The sequence below is a fragment of the Homo sapiens genome, chromosome 1 (assembly GCF_000001405.40).
Source record: "Homo sapiens chromosome 1, GRCh38.p14 Primary Assembly".
Classification (NCBI taxonomy): Eukaryota; Metazoa; Chordata; class Mammalia; order Primates; family Hominidae; genus Homo; species Homo sapiens.
In genome coordinates, this window is record NC_000001.11 from 179,761,863 (window position 1) to 179,787,616 (window position 25,754).

Genomic DNA, 25,754 nt, shown 5'->3' on the forward strand with positions numbered 1-25,754 from the left:
ACACATTCTTCCCTTTTACCTCACAGCAGTTCTGGGAGGAATTATTCCCATTTTAGAGCTGTTGAAACGGAGACTCAGAGAGAAGGAATTGCTGGTGAATCACAGAGCTTGTGTTTTAACATCGTTTCTGCACTGAACACCCCCCACTCCTCCACTTCCCTACTGAAAGGGTGCTGCTTAACGGCCAGGAATTTTAAAGCTTGGAAAATGTCCCATTGATTTTGGCAGGAAGCAGATACCAAATGCTCTTGTTGAATGGATGGATGGATGAATGGACAAAAGAAAGAATGATTTTAAAAGGTCATATAATCGTATCAAGGCAGGGAGAGATAATCATGTTAGAAACCTATCTCATAGATAGCTGCTACAAATGAATGTGGCAAGAATTCAATGGTTCTTTCTGTTTTCTACCCAAGATTTATAAGTAGATGCCTGTAATGGGAGTAAACATCAGGAGAGTCTTTTTTCCAGGGCTGCAGAGAATTGGGATCATGCTGGGTATGTGGGTCAGTCAGTCCTGTCACGGTTTGGGAGAGGAGAGGTGTTCACCTGGTTGCGCTCCTATGCACAAGGCTAGATGTCTGCTGTTTTCATTTGCAGATTGCTTACAAGGTCCTTCCCTGTCCTAGCAATTTGCCTGCCTCACCCATGGTCTAGGGACACAGAGGAGAAGGAGGCCCAAATGGCACAGCTTCTTGGGGCACATTTGAGGGAAATGCTTTCTTTTTTTATTCAAGATTATATCAAGTGAAGAGCTGGTTTTCACCAACTTCAGGAATGCTCAAGATGGGTTATTGGGTCAGCAAATAGACACTGAGGGAGGCTTCGGCTCACATCTCTTAGCTCCTTAGTCATCCTCCTTGCTGTGCAAGAAAAGGCTTGAATATACCTTCTTCCAGCTCTGCATTAGCCAGCAAGGGGAATGAGGCCATTGTGAACACACACTGTGGGGGCCTAGGAGAGAAATACTTCAGGCGACATGATGATGGTCCTTATCTTCCAGGAGTTCCCAGGGTAGGGGAGGAAAAAATAATTTTCCTTCTGCTTTTCAGAGTTCATAGCTGGGACTCTCTGTAACAAAAGACAAATCGACAGGAGAAAAACAAATAGAAATTTGTCAACATGTATACTTCATCTCTACATGGGAGATACTTAGGGAAAAAATAAGTAAATCTCAAAGAGGCAGCTTAGAATTCAGGCTTAAACACCATCTTCAGCTAAAGGCAAAAGAAAGAAGGGTGTGGGGGAGGCCAGTTATGGGGAGATGACCAGGCAAATTATCAGAATAAAGTCTGTTATGCAGATGTAAGCCTGCTCCATTAGTAAGACCTTCTCGTGATTTAGCCATGCTTCTCTTCCTGCTACAGACACCCTTACAAATGGTGATTTCCTTTATAGATGTAACTTTCCCTTACAAAAGGGTAACTTCTACTCTCTTTTCAGAGCTTCTCCTGTATCTGTTGTTTCTCAAAATAATCAGCTCAAAATCATCCTTATGCCAAAGAGGCATATTTTGGCATGGCACGTTCTGGTCTCCTACAACAGCTTCCTTGGACAGAGAATATGCACTGACTGTAGCATTACAGAGCAGTGCCATCGAAATAATTGTAAAAAACTTGTTGTGAGCAAAGGGGCTGAAAAACACCAGACTGGCTAGTTTCTTCTGAAAAATGAAGGCAGCTGGGATGCACTCTGCTTTTTCCTACTTTCCTGCTCTAAGGATGTGTAATTCTTTAATCAGAAGTCTAATAAGGTTAATCAGGAAAGACCTGAAGATTTAGCTGATTTCTGAGAAAGGGCATAGGAGACTTTGGAGGACTATAAGCTCAGCCTGAGAGGAGACACAGGGTTTCTGGTGGTAGGTTATAGCAAGTCCCATTTTACAGATGCAGAAACTGAAGGCCAGACCTCCTCCCCAAAATGGCAGAGAAATCCTAATGCTTGGACTTGTGCAATGGGTACAAGACAAGTGCCTTCCCTTGGCTGAGGAGAGTTTCTCTCCTAGAGGACTTAGCTGGGTGTGTGGAGGAGTCTGAATTCCTCCCCTTGAATTCCTTCCACTGCTTCTTTGCCAGTCCCATCCAACTCGGATGGGGAACTGCTTTTAAATATTATTTCTCAAAGACTACACACACACAAAGAGAGACAGAGAGAGAGAGTGCATGCTCTTTGTATTTTATTTGGGGAATCATAACAACTCTCAGGTGAAATAGAGAGCTGAACCAATCAAGCACTCTTCCCAGGGCTCAAAAGAAACAAGTGTCACAGAACTGGCTGGCAGCACTGCAGAAAATAGATGATGGGAACACCTGTGTGGGTGTGGGTGACCTTGACAAGGGAAACACTAGCCAGTATTTTTATCTGCCCACTTTGTCTCAGGACGTTGGTGGTGTTGCATCCACTAGCAACAGGCTCTGGTTTATTCTCATGACATCTGGGCAGAAGGGGCGGGAACGACGAGGCAGATAAGAATATACCCATTTTGAGGAACAGAGAAACTGAGCCATGATTGGGGAGTGAAGCTTGTTCAAAGTCTCGTGGATAGACTTTGGGGTTCTTCAAATGGAAACAGGTTGTGCAACCTCTCATTCAGTGCTCCAGCAGCTCAAATTCTGTACTCTCAAAGATTTCCTATTAAATTTAATTTACTTTCCTTCTGTTACCCTTCCATGGTAGATGAGGTATTGATAGGGTAATCAACTTGTCAAGGACTCTCCCCATTTTATGACTAAAAGTTTGAAATCCACAGAATCCCCTCGGTCCTCGGCAAACCAGGATGGTTGTTCGCCCTAGAGGTATGTAACTGCTTCAGAGAAACGGCTGTTGGGGGAGAGCATTTCTGGAGGTGGTCTCACATGTTCGTTAAGAGCATGGGCTCTGGGCACATGCTAGGGTACAAGTCCCAGCTCTGCAACACATCCCTGTCACCTGGGGCAAATCACTTGACCTCTCTGTGCCTCAGTTGCCTCATTTGTAAAAAGGGGGTAGTGACAATCTGTACCTCAGGAGGTTGCTGTGTGAATTATATAAAGCCATACGTGAAATGCTCTTTTACTTAAAATAGTGCCTGTCTTATAAGAAGAGCTCAGTAATTGTTAGCCATGATTACTTTGTCAGCATCTGCCTGTTGATGAATCACAGAGATCGCGGGATCTCAGAACTGATGGGCTGCCTCCTTAGATTTCATCTCAGTGCCCCCCAATTTAAATGCACTCCACACGTTGTAGCAACCCCCTTCCTCGTCCACCTCTTCCCTTTCTTCCTCGCCCCATGGCTGCCGCTGGTGGAGGCTGGTTTGCTCTGTGTCAAAGTGGATGTCACCCCACTTCACTTGTTGGCAGGATTGAGGGATGGCAGGCGGGTGGGATGTGATCTCCAAGTGCAGTACTCTCAGACTTGAACATGCACACACAGCACCTGGGCATCTTGTTAAATTTTGTTAAATGTGGATTCTGATTCAGCAGGTCTGAGGTGGGGCCCACAATTTTGCATTTCTAATAAGCTCCCAAAGATACTGCCGGTTTGGGACCACTCCATGGGCCACAAACATGTGGCCAGGCCACATCATGTGTCAGCCTGTGGGAGTCTAAGTAAAAGACGGTAATATTCTTGCCCAGCTGAGGACCCTAAAATAGAATTAGTGCTGGGGACAGGGGTGGGAGTTGCTTAGATATGCTTAGAGTGTTTGAGGGGAGCAGCTTAGAGAGTGGTGAAGCCATCGGGGCATGAAAGGTCTGTGGGGCTGATGCTGAGATCTGTGGTGAGTATTGTAGGTAAAGTTAATAACAACTGGTTAAGGAATTGAGCTTTGGGAATTTTTTTTTTTTTTTTTTTTTTGCTGATTTTAAATATCAGAGCTGGTTCGAGACTATTGCTTAGATAGTCTTTCTCTCTCACATCCATGGTTTTGCTCTCTTGAATGGTGGACAAAGGGTGTAGTGCCCCCCAGTGCCTGGGAATGACACATGGTCAGTGTGACTACAGGAGGTTCAGAATGGCTGGCCTGAAATGACAGAAGTCCCCAAAGCTGGGCCTCCAGGCTCCCTACCCAAAAACTCCCTCACAGAGAGTGACCTTGCCTAGGAGGGATCTGATACTTTCTCAGCCACCTTGGAAGGGCTCTTACAGCTCCATGATGGATGAATGGACAAAACTGTCCCAAACAATCTGGGTTCCAGAAATAAGCCTTGTTCAGGCTCAGAAAACAATACCCCAAGATGAAGGCCTCAGAAGCACAAGTTTTTCTCTGACTTTCCCCTACATTCCTGTCTCTCAGTCCCATTTTGCCCCAAGTCCAGCCATAGGAACTAGAATCTCTCTTCCCCAAGACAGGTCATAGAAACCAGAACCCCTTTTCCCCAAAGCCAACTATGAAACCTAAAAATATTAACCTAACTTGCCCTCCGCTTTCCCATAAAGAAATTATCTGACCCACCTTGTTTGACTGTAGGTCATGAGACCCCCCATTCCAGAGAGGGCCCTGCTCCACACCCAGAGGAAGGACTTCATGCTCAGAGGGGCCAAGAAGAATCCAGACCCACAGGCCTGGCTGGGTTTCCCCACTCAGTCTATTCACATTAGATCAGACCCTTTGTGTCCAATCATATTTCTACACAGCTGCCCATACTTTGTTGAACCTAAGCGTAAAAATGAACAATTTCCCCTTGTATCTTTGGGTCTTCATTCTGAAGGCTCCCAGATACACATGTTAAATAAATGTGTATGCCTTTCCTCCAATTAATCTGCCTTTTTCGAGTTGATTTTTCAGTGAAACTTCAGAGAACCAAAGGGAACTTTCTCCTTACACCCCACAGCATAGACAGAACTTTCTCTTTACACCCAATGGCCCCTCACATTTGAGATGCACTTCACTCCTTTTTACTTTTCTTTCTTTTTTTTTTTTCGGTTTGGAGACGTAGTTTTACTCTTGTCGCCCAGGCTGGAGTGCAATGGCACAATCTTGGCTCACTGCAACCTCTGCCTCCCGGGTTCAAGCGATTCTCCTGCTTCAGCCTCCCAAGTAGCTGGGATTACAGGCACATGCCACCACGCTCGGCTAATTTTTATCTTTTTAGTAGAGACAGGGTTTCACCATGTTGGCCAGGCTGGTCTCGAGCTCCTGACCTCAGGTGATCTGCCCATCTCAGCCTCCCAAATTGCTAGGATTACAGACATGAACCACCGCCCCCGGCCTTTACTCCTTTTTCGAAGCTACAAACAGGAGTCCTCCCTGCCATCGTTCTCCCAGTGTCTTCCCTCAGAGATGATATCAGGCACCAAGACAATATGACCGTCTAGTACAGTGAATCTGCCTTCCACTCTCTGGCATGCTCAGATTCCAGAGAAACCTTCCCAGAAGAGGTCACAGAGAAGGGGCTGGACATGTTCGAGTCCAATCCTGCTCACTGTTGCCTGGCTTCCCTTAGGCCAGGCTTGTGCTAATTTGAAAAATGGCCTATGATAATGAGCGCTAAAAGCACTCTGCAGACCGAGTGCCCTGGGAAGATGTTCAGGGACTCAGCCTTCCCCAGCTCCCTCCCCTCCACTGCCAGCTCTCAGCATTGTGCACTTTTAATCTCCCACACGGCTGCCAGTATACTACACATTTGTATCTGTCACTTCACATCCCCCCGCATGGCTGCTCTCAGCCAACTGGGAGCCTTCTCCTTTTTTCCCTGGAATGTTCCCTGAGGACAACTCAGCCCTTGATAAAGGCTTCCACTTTCTTTTGTTTCTCTTGGTGAGAAAAAAACCCCTGTCCCCCACTCCTACCTTACAGAGCCTGTCCAGGCCCTGGCACCCCCTACCTGCAGCCTGCTGCTCCAGGTGCAGCTTCTCTCCCATCCCTCTCCCCACAGAAGGAGAATCCTGGTGCTCCAATGCCCTCCCAACACAGGTCAATGTAACAGCATCCCAGAATTTTACGATGGCCCTCTAATTCCTATAGCCAGAAGGGACCTCAGAAGTTTTTTTAAAAAATTTATTGTGGTTAAAAAAAGCACACAACAATTAATTTCCCCTCTTAACCATTCGTAAGTGTTAAGTAGTGTTAAGTATAGTATATAGTTGGGCAACAGATCTCTAGATAATTTTCATCTTGAAAAATTAAAACTCTGTAACCATTAAACACTAATCTCCCCTCTCCCCTTCCCTCAGTCCTTGGCCACCACATTTTCTACTTTGTTTGTATGATTTTGAGTACTTTAGATACGTCATATGAGTGGAATCATATGGTATTTGTTCTTTTGTGAATGGCTTATTTCATTTAGCATAATGTCTGTCCGTGCTGTAGCATATGACAGGATTTCCTTCTTAAGGCTGCATAATATTCCATTGTATGGATATACCACATCTCTTTAACTGTTTATCTGTTGATAGACATTTGGGTCACTTCCTCAGAAGTTTTTTTTAACCCTTTATTTTGCAACTCATCACCCACATAAACAAAGACCACACAGTCAATAAGACCAAGACCACACAGCCAATAAGTGTGGCAATAATTGCTCAAGACCACACAGCCAATAAGATGTCTGTTTGTACAGATTTTTATTATTCTCTCCTGGATTCTGGCAACAGCATTTAGGGGCTCTGGTCTAACATGGTGTTAGTGAAAATAGGCTCTCCAAGATTACTAGAGGCTGCAGGGGCAAGTGATGGTGGCTGGGCTAGTCCTGATCACTGTACACCTGTGAGAACATCCAGCTTTGGCTTTGGTGTGGTCAAGTGTCTTATGTATATGGACACTGGATTTTTTTTTTTTTTGAGGCGGAGTCTCACTCTGTCGCCAGGCTGAAGTACAGTGGTATGATCTTGGCTCACTGCAACCTCAACCTCCTGGGTTCAAGTGATTCTCCTGCCTCAGCCTCCCAAGTAGCTGGGATTACAAGTGCACGGCACCATGCCCAGCTAATTTTTGTATTTTTAGTAGAGACGGGGTTTCACCATGTTGGCCAGGATGGTCTCGATCTCCTGACCTCATGATCCGCCTGTCTCAGCCTCCCAAAGTGCTGGGATTACAGGCGTGAGCCACTGCACCCGGCCTGGACACTGGATTTTTAAAGATACTAAGGAATTATTGTTCATTTGTTTCAGCGCATTAATGGTATTGTGTTATATGCTTTTTAAAAAGACTTTTAGAGATGCATACTGAAGTGATTATAAATTAAACATGATGTCTAGGATATGCTTCAAAATCATTATTGGAAAGTATGGATGAAACTAGGCTGGGGGCTCATTATACCATTCTCTCTACTTTTGAATATGTTTGAAATTTTTTATTTATTTATTTACTTATTTACTTTGAGACAAGATCTCGCTCTCTCACCCAGGTTGGAGTGCAGTGGAGTGATCATGACTCACTGCAGCCTCAAACTCCTGGGCTTAAATGATTCTCCTACCATAGCCTCCTGAGTAGCTGAGACCACAGTTGCATGCCACCATGCCTGGCTAATTTTTTCAATTTTTTTTTTTTGTAGAGATGGGATCTCACTACACTGTCCAGGTTGGTCTTGAACTCCTGGGCTCAAATGGTCCTCCTGCCTTGGCCTCCCAAAGTTCTGGGATTACAGAGGTCTTCCAAAATAAAAATGTTTGAATCTTAAAAAACTCTTTTCATCTTACATTTGGATAGGTCACACCTGCCTCCCACTCTTCAAGAACTCAGCAGATTATTGCTGAAATAGGAGGAGTTTTGACTATTATCAATTGTAAGCTCTGGAAAATAAAGTAACACAGCCATTGGGCAGGCAATGTAAACACCAACAAAAATCCCTGCAGGCTGCGGGAACGGCACCAGCAGATGTATGTAGCCCCGTGGCAGAGGTGGCAGTGGCATGAGGAGCTGAGCTTTGTCCATGGAGCAGGCCGTGCTCTGGGATCAGGCCTTCCATCCTGAACCTGGACCTAGAGTGCTTCTCCACCAGAGGCAATTGGCAGTCACCAGCTTTCTTACTTATAAACAGTTTGGCCACATCACAAAGTAAATACATTGTTTTGTTCATTTGTTTTAAGTATTCATTTACTCTTTCATCCCTAATTCTTTTTTTTTTTTTTTTTTTTTTTTTGAGACAGTCTTGCTCTGTCACCCAGGCTGGAGTGCAGTGGCGTGATCTCGGCTCACTGCAAGCTCCGCCTCCCAGGTTCACACCGTTCTCCTGCCTCATCCTCCCGAGTAGCTGGGACTACAGGCGCCTGCCACCACGCCTGGCTACTTTTTTGTATTTTTAGTAGACACGGGGTTTCACCGTGTTAGCCAGGATTGTCTCAATCTCCTGACCTCGTGATCTGCCTGCCTTGGCCTCTCAAAGTGCTGGGATTACAGGTGTGAGCCACCGCGCCTGGCCTCTTTCATCCCTAATTCTTCCCTTTTTCTATATCCAACCAATGCTGTGATTGAATTTGCCTCCTAAATACCTCATATTTGCTCATTCATGGCCATGGCCACTACCCTAGTTCAAGCTGCTATCATCTCTTACCTGGGTTATTGCAATACTTCCTAATTGGCCTCCCACTCAGCACTCTTAGCCTGGCTTCCTGAACTTCCCATCTGTTCTTCTGATCGTGTCACTCATCCCCGTGTACTTAAAACAAGAAAGCCTTCCCATTGCTCTTGGAATGAAGGCTGAACTTTAGCAGTGCCAGAGTCTTGGGGGCACCTGGCCTCTCTTTGCCTGTCCAGTCTCATTTTTCATCTCCAGCCTTCTCTATCCCTGTGCCCCAGCCACCCTGAAATTCTTTCAGTTCCTCAAAAGCACCATGCTCTTTCTCATTTCCAGGCCTTTGAACATGCTGCCCCCTCTGCCTGGAACACTCTCCCTCCTGCCTTGGTCTGGATGACTTGCGCACCCCACAGGCCTCAGCTGAACCTCGCTTCCTCCAAGAAGCATCCCTTGACCTCCTCTCCCCAAGTCAGGTTGGTGTTCCTTCTCTGTGCTCACCTGGAAACGCCCCCATCATAGGACTTAGCCCCCTTATTACAGGGGTTCAGTAAATTTCTTTTTGAGCTGACTGAATATATTTGATTTGCAAGAAAGGAAAAAGTACAGAAATATGTATTGCAACAAGCAGGTCACAGTATCCTCAAGTCCGCAGATATCCCTGTGCCTTCAAAGTCATCCCACAAATGTTCCCTGGTCTGATTATCACTGAAGGAAGTTTTCCAGTTGCTGCAGAATCTATCCTGCTGCCCTCTGCTGACAGGGCCTGCTTTTTCCGGTATGATCTCAAGCACACTCTGCTGTTAGATCTTCTAACCCTGCCACTACCACCCCACCCCATGCGGGACCAGGACAGTGCCTTCTGAACACTCCCCCATTGTCAAGGGAGCTGCCCAGCCGTCCACAGCTTCAGCCCCCAGTGGAGGTTCCAAGACAGAGTGCCGGCTCCCCCTGTGCATCCCCTCCGCTGGCAGCCCCACCAGCTCTGCACCCACAGAGTCCCACCCAGCACTGGGGTCTGTCCCGCCCACAGATGGTCCAGGCCCATCAGCTTTACCTGTCTGACCTCTGGGCCTCACTGAGGCGCCCTGTGAGAGCTGCTGTCATTTTTGTTCTCTCCTTTGCAGAGTTTCCATCCTACCCTCTTTTTCCTGTTTTGTCTCTGAAGTGCCTCTCTGGCCTGTGCGTCTACCTCACCCTCTCTTTCCTCATTCAGGCCCTTGTGCCAGCACTGCCCCATTTTTTCTTGTATCTTTGGTCTGTCCCCTCATCCTGGGCTCTTTGCTTCCGTCTACACCTGTGCTTGGATATCTGTCTCTTCTAAAGCTCCTTCCTGCCCCATGAGCCTCATAGCTCACATCCTGGCTCTCTGCTCCCTTTCCTCCCCAGAGACGGTTCACCGCCTCCACATCATCACAGCTCCACATCCCCCAGCTCCACTGCTGTTACTGACATCAGTCTTGCCAAATCCCCCCATGCCCATCTAATCACAAATCCTCAGTCATCTGCTTGGCCTCTCTGCTGCCCTGGATGCCGCTGGCCATCCTCTGCTCTCAGATGCTCTCCTCAGGCTCCCTGGCACCCCTCAGCCTGCCTGGGCTTCTGATTATCTGCTCTTTGACTCATCTGCTGGCATGTCCCCATCTTCCTAACCTCTCTGCAGGTCAGTTTTTTGAGATTCTGTTCTCTGGCCACACCATCTATTCAGCTGCTCCAAATGACCCCTCCAGGTGGCAGCTCCCAGGTCACAGTCTCTAGCCTGAACATCTCTCCTGCTCTTATTTTGCATTTCAATTTCACTGAATATCAAGGTCAAAGTCAAGCTGCTGCCCTCTAAATAGCAACTCCTCCGGACTTTCTGTTAACAGTCCTGGCATTCTCTGATCCCCAGGCTTAAAAACCCATAGCCACCTCTGCCACCTTCCTTTCCTCTGCTCACACATCTGGTCAGCCCAGAGGTCCTGTCCCTGCTGTCCCACAGGCTCTCACATCCATCTCCTTTGAGTTCCTCCAACCCTCACCCTTGGTTTAGGTCTTACTGTGCTGGCATTTTGTTACCTCCCCAGTCCTCCAGATCATCTTTTTCAGTCTTTATGTCTCCAGACCATTGTCTACTCTGCTGCCGAGTCCATTTAAAGTTCTTAAAGTAGACCAGCAGCATCAGCATCACTGGGAGACTTGTCAGAAATGCACATTCTCAGGCCCCATTCCAAATCTGCTGATTCAGAAACTCTGTAGGTGGGGCCCAGCAATCTGTTGGTAATTCAATGCATACTAACGTTTGAGAACCACTGCCCTGAAGCATTGCTCTGAGCAAGTTTCTTCTCTGCTTAAAGACCTAAGACACTTTGTTGTAGTTAGGATAGGGTTTAATTGGCTATAACAGCTAACAATAAAAATCTACTTCTCTCTCACTTAAAAGGAGTTTGGCCATGGACAGTGCAGGGCTGATCTAACAGCTCCATGGTGTCATTAGGAACCCAGGGCCCTAGCTTTCTGTTTCAACTCCTAGAACATGGCTTGCTCTATCACTAAGGTTAGTTACCTCTTGGCTCTAGATGGCTGCTAGAACTCCAGCCATCATATCCTAATACAGACCAGGAGAAAAAGCACAAGAGCCAAAAGGAGGACTCTTCCAGCTGAGTCAGCTCCCCACGTTTAAGCAGCCTTCCCAAGAGACCCAAATAACACTTCCACTTAAATCTAGTTCATCAGAATTTGGTCACATGGCCATACTAGATACAAGGGAAGCTGAGAAGTAGTTTTTTGTTCTGGGTGGCAATATACTCAGCTAAAAATTGAAGTTCTTTCAAAATTTTACATATAGCACTGTATGATCCAATTTATATACCATTCTTGAAATAACAAAATTATAGAAATGGAAAATAGATTGATAGTTGTCAGGGGGTGGGTAGAGAAGGAAGTGACTGTGGCTACCAAAGGATAGCACCAGGGATCCTTATGATAGAACTGTTTTGTATCTTGACTGTGGTGGTGGTCACAAATCTACGCAAGTGATAGAACTGCATAGAGCTAAATATACACATGCACAGATAAGCGTGCACACATGCATATGTTCATGTAAAACTGGAGAAATCCAAATGTCACTAGATTGTATCGGTGTCAATTTCCTGGTGTGATATTGCACTATAGTTTTGCAAGATGTTACCATTGGGGGAAACTGGGTGAGGAGTATATGGGATCTGTATTATTTCTTACAACTGCATGTAAATCTACAACTGTCTCAAAACAAAACATTGAAGAAGCAAAAATAATGAAGGGGAGGTGTCATAAGCAACTAGTGTCTCTGCTGTAAACCTAACCCATTCCCCGCTGTAAGCAGTCCAAGGTTCTTAGCATAATTAAGGCCTTCATGACCTAGCAGTAAGGTGCTTCCCAAGCAGTCCATACCTTGCCGGGTTAGTGCTGTCTGCATTAAAGCATCGGCCTCTAGAGAGCAGGCCCCAAAGCTATGGCTGGTATTTATGAAGCACTTGCCTCTTCACCCATATGGCCCTGAAGAGAGCCAATGAAACGGACATCTTTTACCTTCAGAAGCCTCCGTTCTGAGAAAGCACCGGTATTCGCAGGCATGTTGCCCACTAAACAGAGAATGAAAATGACTTTGTCTAATTGAAAGGGGCAGTGAGCAAAGAGGGACTTTTGAGACCTGCAGGTTGCTGTAGTGACTGCAGTGAGAGCAGGAAGTACTGAAGCATATTTCCAAGTGGTTTTTAAAGTACTCCATCCTGTCATCTTTGTCCATGTTCTGGAGCTCTCTTCCTTAAGGCATCAGCCAGCACCAGCTGCTTTCTCACCCCTGGGCAGCCTTGCTGAACCTCACTGTGCCCCCATGGGAAGGAATTAAACCACTTGTCAGGAGCTTCTGCTCAGCCAGAACTCTGCCTGAGGCTTTCCCACAACAGCTCTCTGAGACTCTCGGTTGCCCTGAGGAGGGACAGGCACATTGCAGGGCAGGTGCTACCAGCTGAGGTGTGCTGCAGGCAGCCAGGCCTGATGGAGTGTGAGAGGCTTCTGGGGTTACAGGTCCGGCCTTCCCAGTCCTGAGCCCATGGATGCCCAGGGAAGTGGTGGGCTCCAAGGATGAGCTTTAGGGGTTTCATGAATTTTCTAAACTTGTAGGCAGAATTCCCTATGTGCTTTTTTCTCCGGGAAGACTGTCCATAGCCTTCGTCAGGTTCTCAAAGGCATCCACAAGCTCCTAGCAGCTGAGAATGATCCCCAGTGATACAGAGAGTGGGAGACTGGAGGAGGAGTGCTGAGGGAGTTGAAGGTAAGGGCTGAGTACAGCAGGGAAGCAGCTAGAGCAGAAGAGCAGGTGAGAATTCACTGAGCTTTGACCGGTGGGCTGAGCTGATGGAAGCGACACTGATCCTCCTGGTTCCCTGTGGGGTGAGCATCTTTCAGTCCAGGCAGAAGTCACGGCCAGGACAGCCTGTTTCCACCCGCAGACCCTGGACGAACTCATCTCCATGCTGTCCCCACTGACCTCATTTTTAGTTCTGGCTGAGTGAATCTCTCAAGGCTAGGGAGAGTTTCCCTGAGCCCCCAGGCCCGTCTGTTCCACTGAAAAACATTCCCATAGTGTTACCGGTAGCAGGTCTTGACTGCAAATTGTCCAGGTTCTTGACGTTTTGAACAAAGAATTGGACAAAACGCACGGCAAAGCAAGGAAAGAATGAAGCAACAAAAGAACGAAAGCAACGATTTATTGAAAATGAAAGTACACTCCACATTGTGGGAGTTGGCCCAAGCAGCCAGCAGCAGCTCAAGGGCCTGGGTGCAGAATTTTCTTGGGTCCAAATACCCCCAGAGGCTCCCCATTGGCCACTTGGCTCTCACCTCATGTAAATGAAGTGGTGGCCTACAAACGGTCTGATTGGTTGCCGAAAGCAACCAATCAGAGGCTGAAGTGAAATTACAGAGGTCATACTCCTGTGCAAACATCCAATTGGTTGCAAAAAGCAACCAATCAGAGGCTAAGGTGAAGTTACAAAGTTGCACTTCTATGCAAACGAAGACTTAGTCTACAATCAGTCTGATTGGTTGCAGACAGCCAGTTTCTATCTGCCACGCAGAAAAGGTGGGGATTTGCAAAGGGAGTAGCCTCTGGTCCTTTTGTTACTTAGGCATGGGAAGTTAGGGTTTTCCTTTCAATTTAGTTCTAAGAAGTCAGCGTGAAATGGCCTTAGGTTCCTTTCCTCCAGACCCTATTCTCCTGCCTCAATCGCAATATCCCCTGTCAAAGCCCAGCACACTTATAATTGTGGCTAGTGTCTGTAGATTCCTATTCAGGGGAGCCTTGCTTGTTTTGTCTAATTTTAGCCCCAGTTATAGCCTGGCACAGTGCCTGGCATATGATCAACACTCACATTCAGTATTCAATAAATATCAGTAGGATAGATGGATGAAAAAATAAAAGAATATATTGTCTTATGAGTGTGGACAGATGCCCGCAGAATACTTTGAGGACTCTCAGGAAAAGAGCTGGGGCCGACCTTTATTCTAGCAGTGAAGAACAGGACAAAGATAAGTGTGAGCTTGTGAAGTAACTCTGTTGAGGTGAGGCTGAATTTTACTACCCTCAGAATATTCCCCAGGGTCCTTGGCGGAAAAGATTTATTCCTATTAATTCTTTGCTATAAATTCAACAGCAGACAAGCCTGAATGAATTGATCAGATGGGGTGGGGGTTGGGTGGCATTAGGGAGATTGTTACATATGAGGGTTTGGGAAATAGGTGCATCATAGATTCAAAATAAGAGGCCTACACTTGGTGCTGGTCTAGTCAACGAGTCAGCATTTCTTGGACAGCTTATTCTGTGCCAGGTGCTGAAGAGATAAGAGCAGTGTAAATCGTGGCCAGGAATCACATGAAAGAGAAACCACCTACTGGCCAGGTGCAGTGGCTCACACCTGTAATACCGGCACTTTGTTGGGTGGCCGAGGTGAGCTGATCATTTGAGGCCAGGAGTTCAAGACCTGACCAACATGGAAACCCCGTCTCTACTAAAAATACAAAAATTAGCTGGGCATGGTGGTGCACACCTGTAATACCAGCTACTCAGGAGGCTGAGGCAGGAGAATCGCTTAAACCTGGAAGATGGAGGTTGCAGTGAGCCGAGATCACACCACTGCACTCCAGCCAGGACGAAAGAGCAAGACTCCATTTCAAAAAAAAAAAAAACAGAGAGAGAAACCACCTACAACTTTACTGCCGTAGCATTCACTTATGGCCACTTATCCCCTCAGCCCTGCCTGATAAGGAGGTAAGTGTGTGTGTATCGGCCCTGAGAAAGCCCCTTCATTTCCATAGGATGCCAGGCCTACCCTCTGCCTGGTCGACTGTCAAATTGCGAAATGGTCTTTAATTGGCAATATGGATGATTTTCCCTGTTTAATCTGTTTAATTTAAATCTGTTTAATGTATCGAAGTGAAATTCATATATCATAAAAGCACCATTTCAAAGTGTTCAGTTCAATGGCAGTTAGCACATTCATGGTGTTGTACAACCACTACCTCTATTTAGTGTCACATTGCCATCATTCCAAAATCAAACCCTATTATATTTACCTATTAAGCAGTTCTCCCCAAGCTGTACCCTGTCTATGCATTGGACTATTCTGGAAATTTTACGCCAATGGAATTATGCAATATGTGAACTTTTGTGAATGGCTCTTTTCACTTAACCTGTCTTGGAGGTTTGTCCATGTTGTAGCATGCATCAGAATGCCATTCCTTTTCATGACTGAGTAGCATCGGATTGTATGAACCTCTCACAATTTTTGATCCATTCCTCCATCCATGAACACTGTTTCCACCTTTTTGCTGTTGTGAATAGTGCTGCTCTGAACATGCAGGTACCTGTATTTGTTTGAGTACCTATCTTCTGGGTATACACCTAAGAATGGTAATCTTCTTAAATTTTTGCCCAAAAACTTTAAACATGAATTTATGTCAGCAAATGCTTGTCAAAAGCTCACTGAAGAGAAATATTACTCATGACAGGTTTTTAAACTTCAGTTTTTGATGCAAAACTCTTTTGTCAAACAGCTGACCCCAAATTCTAACATGTAAAAACATAAAAAGGCAGAAATGCTGTGGGTGAGTTAGACAAGGAGGCCAGGAGCTCCGTGAGATCAGCCTTCGTGTGCCACCCCCCACAGACCCGAAGAGCCTCTCAGACCTCCTGGACTCTGGGCAGCGGTTCTGATGTGCTGCTGCAGATGCCCCAAGCTCCAGATCAAGGTCACCTGCCAGAAAACTGAAGGTTTGAACACTGCTGCTTCCTGGTACACTCCTTTCAAAGAGCCGTACCTGGGTGTTAGTCCTCAGACTCCCCTGGGAGATACAGTAAGAAGCTGCTTTTTAAATATGTAATGGTGTAGTAACAACTTTCCCCTATAGCTCTCAGCCTCCCCTTTAAGAGGATCCTCAGGAGAAATTCCTCTCAAGGCTTAGTGGAAAGAAAAACTAAGCTCCTCCACACTGTGATTTGGTTTAACTGACTGTATTTCTCTTTTCACGTTGGTTGCTAAGAAGCTCAGAGTTAAATCTGCAGCTCACGTCCTGCAGTTCTGCAGACCAACCTCATGACTGACTGGCTGCATGTTGCTATGCTATCCTCCCTGCGATCTTCATTCCATTTTTATCCTACTGAGTGTACAGATGCTCCTGGACTATGATGGTGTTATGTTCCCATAAGCCTGTCATCAGTTGAAAATGCATGTCATACCTTGACAAATCCATTATAAAGTCAAAAAATTATAAGTTGGGAACCACCTGTATTTCTGAAGCACCTAAAATCCTCTTTAGGTTGGGGTAAGATGTAACAAATCATTTTCCCATCTTAACAGTTGTGAATATAGATGTCTTCCTGCCATGAACTCTGAACGTAGAACCCAGGGCTGGCCTAGGTAAGATCACGAGGAGGCCAGAGCAGCCTCCTTACACCCCATATCCCTGACTCCAAGGAAGAGACAGCACCCCAGGTGCTGATCAGGTGAAAATGGGTGAGCCCAAGGCCTTACACAGCTGTGATCAGTTTCAGTTCCACCGACCCCAAGCACCTACTTGTGAACAGCATTTTATGGAATAAAAGGCCAAATGGGGTGATCCCGAGCCACTAGGAATTCCAGAGGGTGAGGGAACATGTGCTTATGTGAGTCTGCAGTTCATGCAAAGGAGTGGAGTAGAGCATCGCATGCCCCAGGAGCAGAGGGAAGGAAGACGTTTTACAGACCATGGGACCTGAAAAAAATGAGAATTGGATCTGGATTTCCTCACAAGCAGTAGTAGGAAAGATAGTAGCATTCCAAGCAAGGGCAATCTCTTGAGCAAAGGCTTATAGGCAGGTGTGGGGAAAGGTACACGGATCAGTATAGCTAGACACTCAGGCTGCAAACTCAAAGGCCTGCAGTGGTGTGCAGTTGACGTATATGTATAAGGCGTGAGGGGTGGGGGAAGAGTATAAGGAAATAGGTGCCAAGGGGCTTGTAGTGGGGCTGGGTGCAACCCACCTAGTAACAATGTTTCTTCAAACACTGTGGAGCATAGCCAGACAGACAGACACAGACCTAATAGAGGCTCCGAGCTAGACTCACAGGGTTTGGGAGGGAGGTTCATAAGGAGAGGGAAGGCTGACGCAGCAAGGCAGGGAATATTTAGATGTCATCTCAGAGGCTGGAGGAGCCTTCAAAAGGTTTAGGCAGGACAGAAACCTAGTTATGTTTTAGAAAGTTACTACAAAATTAAATGCTCTCAGTGTACATTCATATCAAAAAATGATGGAAAATATTAACGGTGATTAATTTGGGTGTTAAGAATCTGGGTAGTTTTTCTTTTCCTTACACTTTTATCTTTACCAATATTTATATTATTAGAAAAGGATCAACAAAAGTCATATCAAAATAAAATATTTTATCCTGGCAGTAGTCTGTGGTAGCAGGAGTAGAAGGAATAGGTTGGATTTCAGCCTTTTTGAAGAGGGAGTTGGCTTAGACCAGGGCTCAGGGGGATATGAATGAAGCAGGCTGCAGCAGTCAGGATCATGCCTTCAGTTTGTGGTTAAAGCAGGCCTTGGAAGAGCCTCCCTGGCCCCTGATACTTTAATGAGAGCTGGTGGGATTTGGGACTGTGGGTGACTCTTGGCCAGCATAGAGACCTGCTCCCTCCTGAAAGCCTTAAAAGTCCCAGTGGGACCCCATTTATGGGTCTCAGAGAAAGAGCTCAGGCAGTGACAAGATGCTGTTTCCATTGAATGAATAGACAGTTGTTCCAGGGAGCATGATCTTGGCTTTCTAGACATTTGAGACTAAAAACCAAATGGTAATGTGCATTCCTATTTCCTGTTTATCGGCTCATATGGGCTTTTTACTATCTTACTGTAGATAAACAGATTTATGTTGTTTTCAAGTGGCACTCTCAGGGCATTCATAAAGATCAGTGGAGCTTTAACTCTGGGAATCCACGTGAATGATAAAGTGGAGGATATGTTGGTTAGAGGCCTGGCTTCACCACTAACTGGAACATCTTGGGCAAATCACCTCAGTAAACCAAGCCACAGTTTATGTATGTGCTAAATAGATTTGAAATACCAGCCCAGTTTATGTGAGAAGGTTGTTTTGAGCTTTATGTTAGACAATATGAAAACACTATAAAACTATAAATGGTTGTTTTCACAAAGATTGCATGCTCTGAAGAATGCCCTGGCTGTGACCCAAAGTCTGACTCTTGGCTCTGTCCCTGGAGTACAAGATATGGGCACTTGTGGCCAGGCAGGTTCATGTGAATACTATGACACATATTCAAGGGAGAGAGCCCTCTAGATAATGGGCCAAAAGGCACAGGACTATGCAAATGTATATTTATGTTATGGGTAAAGATCTCAAAGATTGACCATAACTGACAGGATAAAATAATCCACAATCACACTTCTCTTCAGAAAGGAAATTATTTATTACTTGATTATGCCCTGTTGCAAGCACATTAAGGAATTACTGATCTTGGCTCCCAAGTGTGAAATGGAAAATTTTGAACATAAAACATACTTGTAGAAATACAACAGTGTTATTTGCCAGTGACCATCATCAAGACAAGACTTTAACCTTATCAGTTAGCCTAAAGAAGTGAAATTGAAACAAAGCCAAACGCATAAGCTCGGTGATCGTTCTTCCTTGCTGTGACCATTAGTCAATATGCCAGTGGTTCTCGAAGTGTGGTCCCCAGATGAGCAACATCAGCATCACCTGGGAACTTGTTAGAAATGCACATTCTCAAGACTCACCCCAGACCTGCTGAATCAGAAACTTGGGTGGGGCCGGCAATGCACATTTTAACAGGTCCTCCAGGTGATTTTGATACTTGCTAAAGTTTGTGTGATTCCTACACAGGTACCTGCCCCAAGACAGTTTGCATTAACTGTCTTTGTGCTTTCTTATGTTTGCCTAAAATGCCTCATTCTTCCTGACAAAATAAGGTTCTTGACATTGGCTAAACTTCTAATGCTACCTAGTTACATCAGCTAGACCAGAGCTGTATTACCAGACTTTCATCACAGAATCAGAGTGTTCTCATCATTTTGGTGTTGACAGGACAGAGGGCATTTGCTGATTATAATATGTGGCAAGAACCAAGGAAACTGCAGTGTTTAAGTGTTTTGAGATCTCAGAAGTAAAAGCATCTAATGTGCTCCATGCAAAGGTCTGGTGGTACTCAGTTATGAAAACCGTAGAGACGAGGGGAGAAATGCAAGCATACACGATGGCTTTAAAATGAGGGGCTTAACCGAGAGTGAAAGTAGATTCGTGGTTGCCCAGGCCTGGATGAGAGAGGAGCATGGGGCCTGACTACCTACTAGGAACAGAGTTTCTTTTTAGGGTGATGAAAATATTCTGGAATCTGATAGTGGTGATGGTTCAACAATATGGTGATTATCCTAAGAACTACTGAATTGTACACTTTCAGATGGTGACAGTGTGAATCTTATATGAATTTTACCTCAAAAAATATTTTTAAAACCCACTGGTTTATGTGGAGGCATGATTCCACTTCTCTCTGATCTCCCCTTCTCCCACATCTAGCTGCAGTATAGCATGGGGCACGTATTAGATCCTCACAGAGTTCTCGGTTGGTTGACTGCTCTGACCCCCGAGAAAGGGGCTCAAATGAGCAGGCACCTGGGAATTAGTACATACTTGGACTATACTCTCTTGGGATGGCTTCCTGGGGCAAGTGTACCTTTACTTGGAGTAAATCCTTCCCTCCAGTGTGAGAGACTCCGCTGGGATTGCAGGGATGAGGGTGGTAAATGCAGGTTAGTTAAAAATGACGTCTTGGCCAGGCGCGGTGGCTCATGCCTGTAATCCCAGCACTTTGGGAGGCCCAGGCGGGAGGATCACTAGTTCAGGAGTTCAAGACCAGCCTGGCCAACATGGTGAAACCCCGTCTCTACTAAAAATACAAAAATTAGCTGGGCATGGTGGCGGGTGACTGTAATCCCAGCTACTCGGGAGGCTGAGGCAGGAGAATCGCTTGAGCCCAGGAGGCGGAGGTCACAGTGAGCCAAGATCGTGCTGCTGCACTCTAGCCTGGGCAACAGAGCAAGAATCCGTATCAAAAAAAAAAAAAAAAAAAAAAAAGACGTCTTGCTTCGAGCACAAGTTGTTTTCCAGTTCCCTGTGATGAGCACAAACTTGTTTATGCTATCAGGGCCGGCTTGGGAGGCCAGCTGCTGCTCCTTGACGTGGAGAAGGCGCCTCTACCAGGCTGACTCCTTTGCAGCTGGCAGACAGCCCTGGGGAACAGGCGAAATGATCTCACGGGCCGGGTGGAGTGAGCATGCCGGACAAGGACCAGGCCTCTGTGCGCATGGATATAATCAGCTTTGATAGGCAGAGGCTGAGGCTGTTTTTCCAATTAGAGCTGTTAGAGGATTCTGGCAGGGGCAGCAGTGGGCTTAATTTAACAGACCTGGGACTCATTGAATTAGCCAATGTAGAGGGGATGAGACGGACACTAATGTAAGGCTGTGGGGGCAGAGATGGGGAAGGGGAGAAGGGGACCAGAAGGGCCGGTCGGCAGGGACACAGTGAGGCCTGGTGATGTGGTCCGGGCAGCACAGGAGCATCTTCTCATTTGGCGGGCGGGAAAGCTTGTGCAAGCAGGACGGGATGGAGACTCCTCTGGTACTGGTAAGGCTGGCCTGGTGGGCTTTGCTCGCAGAATCTGGATTCTCAGAGGCCGTTGGCCAGGGTTCTGAACAGTTTCTTGTGCCCATCATCCTTCCCAGGCACCCTGAAGCTGCTGCCATCTCCTTCCCTTTCTAGAACCCAAAGTTCTAAGCCACCCTGCCAGGCACCTTCTTGGTTTGAGAATAAAGAACATTAGAGCCAGAGCAATCATTAAATGTCCTGAGTCCGCGCTTTCATGTTACAGAGGAGGCAACTGTTTCCTAGAGAAGCTGAGAAAACTTGTCTGAGAATATCCAACTCTTAGAGGCAATGTCAGCATTGCAATCCAGACCTCCCACCCCTGGCTGGTGCCGTTTCTTCAAACCGTGGTCACAGTTGGCCCCTCTGTCCTCAGCCTGTGTGCATTTCCAGCAACTTGTATCCCAAACCACTTGGATGGTTTGAAAGCCATTCATTCATTCATGTACAAAATTAGCCCGGTGTGGTGGTGCATGCCTGTAATCCCAGCTACTTGGGAGGCTGAGGCATGAGAATTGCTTGAACCCAGAGATAGAGGTTGCAGTGAGCCGAGATCGTGCCATTGCACTCCAACCTGGGCGACAAGAGTGAAACTCCGTCTTAAAAAAAAAAAAAAAGGAAAAAGCCATTCATTCATTCATTCAAAATGCAGAATGCCAAACTGTACAGACAGCATAGTCTCAACTATCTGAAGAATAAAATATGTGGAAAAGACTGAGTAGAAACATGGGGAAAGACTTAACTGTTGCTGCTTCTGGAAAGGGAGTTGATTACTGTTAATAACTAACATTTATTGGGTTTAATGACCCATCCTAACAATGACCTTATGTTGATAACATTGTGGTACAACTCCTGTGTTGCTAGGTGGCAGTGAAATTTTGTAAAACCGTTTGGGAAAATAGTTTGACAATGTTTATTTTTTAAATGTGCATTAAAAAGTATTTTAACTTAAAATAGCTGATCAACACCTTTTTTTTATTTTTCCTACCCCATGACATCCTGATGAAATAATAGAATGAATAGAAAAAGATAATCTTACTTAGTATATAAGAAAAGTGAGGTATGGAAAGGTTTAAAAGTTGACCCATGGCTACATAGATATTAAGTAGCAAATCCAGAATCTGATCCTGTTTGTATTAACCGTCAGCCACTATGTAGGACTGCCACACACTTGGCACTTTTTTATACTTCCCAAATTTTATATAATTGAGCCCAAATATTATATATATATTATATAATTTATTATATATATATTATATAATTTATTATATAATATATAATTCCCAAATATTATATAATTATATATATAAATTGTATAATTTTATATAAATTTATATAATTTAGTAAAAAAGAGAAACTAAAATAAATTGTATTTCCTGATGGGATACACTAGTTGGCTATAAGGAACATTTTCCCGATTATACCTAGCTGGCTCAGAAATTTGTTCAAACACTGGCCAGGGGCACATTTGGAATAGAAGTCCCAAGGGAGAGAGATACAGGTGAGATTCCTGCTGCCTCTGAGGCCATCAAGAGTCTGATCCTTCTGCATAGGTTGGCTGTGGTCTGTTGTGACCAGATCAGGTGGAGGCTTCCTGGAAGGCTAGGGTGCAATTCAGGGTTGGGCGTAATTGATAACAAATCTGCCCTCCACACATTATCATCTTGGGCCTTCCAGAACCTCCTGCCTTCACCAGGAATAACCTGGCCACAGCTCAACTTGCCTATGCCCCGACCTTGGGCCAAACCTGCCTCCTCTTTGAGAGCAGTGGTGGAGGAGGTAAGAGTGTAAGATGCAAAGCCACGCTGTGTAAGTTCACATACCAGCTCTGTAACTTACTGGATGTTGGAGAAAAGTTACTTACTAGACAAGTTAATTTAACCTCTCTGAACCTGTTGTATCCTCTGAAAATAAAGACAATTCTGCATTACAGAATCTGTTGTGAGGGTGAACTAAATTCACAGTTAACGCAGTGCCTGGCACATGGCAGGCATGTCTCCAGTGTAACCTTCAATAGTCCCTTCCTGCTTGGTCCAGCATTGCCCTATATACATACACAACAGACCCAGAGAAAACAGTATAGCATCTTCCCTTGAGGGGCTTATCTTGAGAAAGCACAAAACCTGCGCACATGAAGCACAGAAGGAAAAATAGACTAACATTTGCTGAATTCCTATTATATGCCCCGAAAAGAAAAAGCATACTCATTTCTTTCAGGTAGAAGATAGCCTAGAATTGTGACATGTCGCAGTGTATAAAATCTAGATGCTGGGGGTGTGGAGTATTCCTTCCAGTTCCTTTCCTTGTGATGACTTTATTTCACTGACTTAACAAGTAACTTTAATCCTCCTCATCTCTGTCCCTTCAATTATCTTGGGTAAACTGGACTCTTCTGTTGCCTGGCTACCCGGCAGGTAGTCCCAAATGTCAAAGAAAAGCTGGCCAACCTTAGAATTTGGCCATGGACGTCACTGTGGGAGGACAAATAAATATAGAACATGAAGAGATTATTCATTTAGAGCCCAGCTTCTCCAACATCTCACTGTGATTCACCAGATCAATTAAAGGCGCAGTAATTCAGTGCGTCAGGAAGGCTGTTGTGAAGAGAACACATCCAGCCTCCCCTGGTCCACAACTCCCACCCCCCATTCCTCACCCTGGCAACTGATTAGATTTGCTCCTCCCTTGCCTGGTATATAAGTTACCACTGCTTGTTTCCAGAAAACCAATTAAGAAACCATAAATTGTGGTCGACTAGAAAGGTCACTGCACAAGCTATAAATACAGGCATTTCTAAACTGTGAGTGGAAGTCTCTGAAGCACATTATCTCCTGTACACCCACATCTTCCAACTGAGGTTTTCTTTGATAAAATGAGAGAACATGAAGACGGAGATCAAAAAGGCATTCCCTGGGTTTTCGTTCTGTAGCCTGCTCTCTTGGGTGTAGCTGGGAATTCTGAGCCTCCAGCAGCCCAGCCCACACTCCAGCTTTGGTTTTGGTTTGTTGTTTTTGTTTTGGGGGAGTGGGGAGGGGGTCATAAAAATGATCTCTTCACAATGTATAAGTGATGTATGAGTTCGAGGCAAAACCTTTAAAACACTGAAAAACACAATGGAGAAATAATCCATAATTCCACCCCTTAAAAAAATGGTTAGCACTTTAGGATATATTATTCCAGGCTTTTTAATAGGCTATATGTACACATTTGTTTTGCTTTCAGAAACATATTTAAAGAGTGTCATTTACTAATACTGTTTTGTAGCCTGTTTGCTCAGCAATATTTGATAATATTATTTTTCCATGGTATTCTACATGTGCCATAGTGTATTTAGCTTCCCCCGTTGTTAAGGAATTTGATTCCTTACAGATTTCCCTTCATATATAATGCTGCAGTGAACATCGAGTTGACATCTCTTCACATAACCATAATTATTTCCTTTGGGGAAATGCTTGAAGTGGAATTGCTGAGCCCTTGATCTTTAAGACTGGTGTATGTTGCCAAATCACCTTCTGGGGAGGTTCTACTAGTGTATACTGGTGGCCATTTCCCCACTCCCTTGCCAAAAAGGGGCTAGTAATTAATACTTTTTAATCTTGACCAAGTTGTTGGATTTAAAAAGATGTTATTTTGTTTTAATCCAAATAGCCACTTAGTACCTACTAACACATCACAAAAGGCTCCCAGAGCCACACAGGCCCTAACCTGGAGTGGATGCTCCTTCCCACCAGCCCTGGCTAGGCTTTTCTGAGCTCCCTCACCCTCAGGATGGCAACAGTGACAGCAGCAGGGTCTCAGGTCTCCCCAGGGTAGATTCAGAGCCAGGCATAAGTTGGATGTCCTATTCAACCCCAGAGAAAGAGTCTTAGGGCCAGCCACCAATCTGGGCTGCAGGCCTGAGTGCCATGCACAAAGTAAAACGAACACAGGTTATGGACCTAGGAGCAGAGCTGGGCTCTTCTACTTCCCCACCAAAGCCTCTGCCCAGCAGCGAAGAGGGTTCCCCAGGGCTCAGCCTTAAGGGGTAATACCAGCCACGTGTGTGTAGCACTTAGCCACCTGCTAAGCCCTCTGACATAATTGTGCCCATTGAATCCTCAAGACAACCCAGTAAGGAAGACACAAGTATTATACCCATTAACAAATGAAAGTATCAAGGTTCAGAGAGATTGAATAACTTTCTCAAAGTCTCAAGGAAAACCAGGATTTAAATTCAGACCTCAGGACTCAAATCCTGAGCATTTCCAAAGTGACCTGTAACCTGTCTAGCCCCTGGCGTGTCTCAGCCCAAGGCCTCTGTCCTCATCCTTAAGTATCTGTGTGTATTTCAGGACCCAGGAGCCGAGGCCCTTTCCCGAGGGTCTGGCAGTGGAATGAGCTGGCTGACAAAGCAGGGTGCCAGAGTTCTCCACTGGCTCCTTGCCACCAGCTCTGCCTGCACCCTGGCCGCATCAGGCCTGCTGCCAGGAAAAGGGAGGGAGACCTTCCTACCCATCAGAGATGTAGAGGATGAATTAAAGTCCATTAGCAAACCGTGACATCCTTTAACATACAAAGCAGTATTATTAATAATGTTTGAAATGAGATTATTTCGAAAACATTAAGTGGTCATGGAACAAGTGGTATCAGACCCAAAGCAGAGTCTTCCAGTTCCTAAGCAATCTCTTTAGCCCGAGGCTCCTCTTAATTTGTAGTAAATAGAGAGCTATTTAGCTGGGCTATTAGGCCTTTGAGCAAGGAGAGCTCACCCTAAACACATCTATTCCTGAGACCTGCTTGATCTAAAATGCACATCAATGATAGCTCAAGGTGCCAGCATGCAATGTGTTCATTCAGCTGGTGTTTATAGAGATCCTACCATGTGCTCCAGGGATACAGAAATGAACAAGGCATAGCCCCTGCCCCGAAGGTTCCCTCGCGCACAGTTTTGTGCAGATAAATGGTTCTGTAATCAAATAACGACATGACCCTGAGAGCATTGCTATAATATTAGAAGATCTACAGCACCTGCTCCACAGGCAGGGGTGAAATCAGGAAACACTTCACAGAGGAGGAGCCTTGCGTGAGGAGTAGCCAGGGCCTGAGCATG

The 25,754-nt window shown here is 45.5% G+C and overlaps 1 protein-coding gene across 21 annotated transcripts in view; it reads left to right on the plus strand.

The window, feature by feature from the left end:
* The window catches only part of FAM163A (family with sequence similarity 163 member A), an 88,423-nt gene that overhangs the window by 34,087 nt on the left and 28,582 nt on the right, over positions 1–25,754 (plus strand). The window contains exon 2 of one of the 21 annotated variants that reach the window (NM_001393418.1): positions 8,775–8,911. The exons of the other annotated variants lie outside the window; for them this stretch is intronic. The gene's annotated coding sequence lies outside the window, so the exon portion shown is untranslated. The remainder of the gene's footprint in view (positions 1–8,774; positions 8,912–25,754) is intronic. 21 annotated transcript variants of the gene reach the window in all.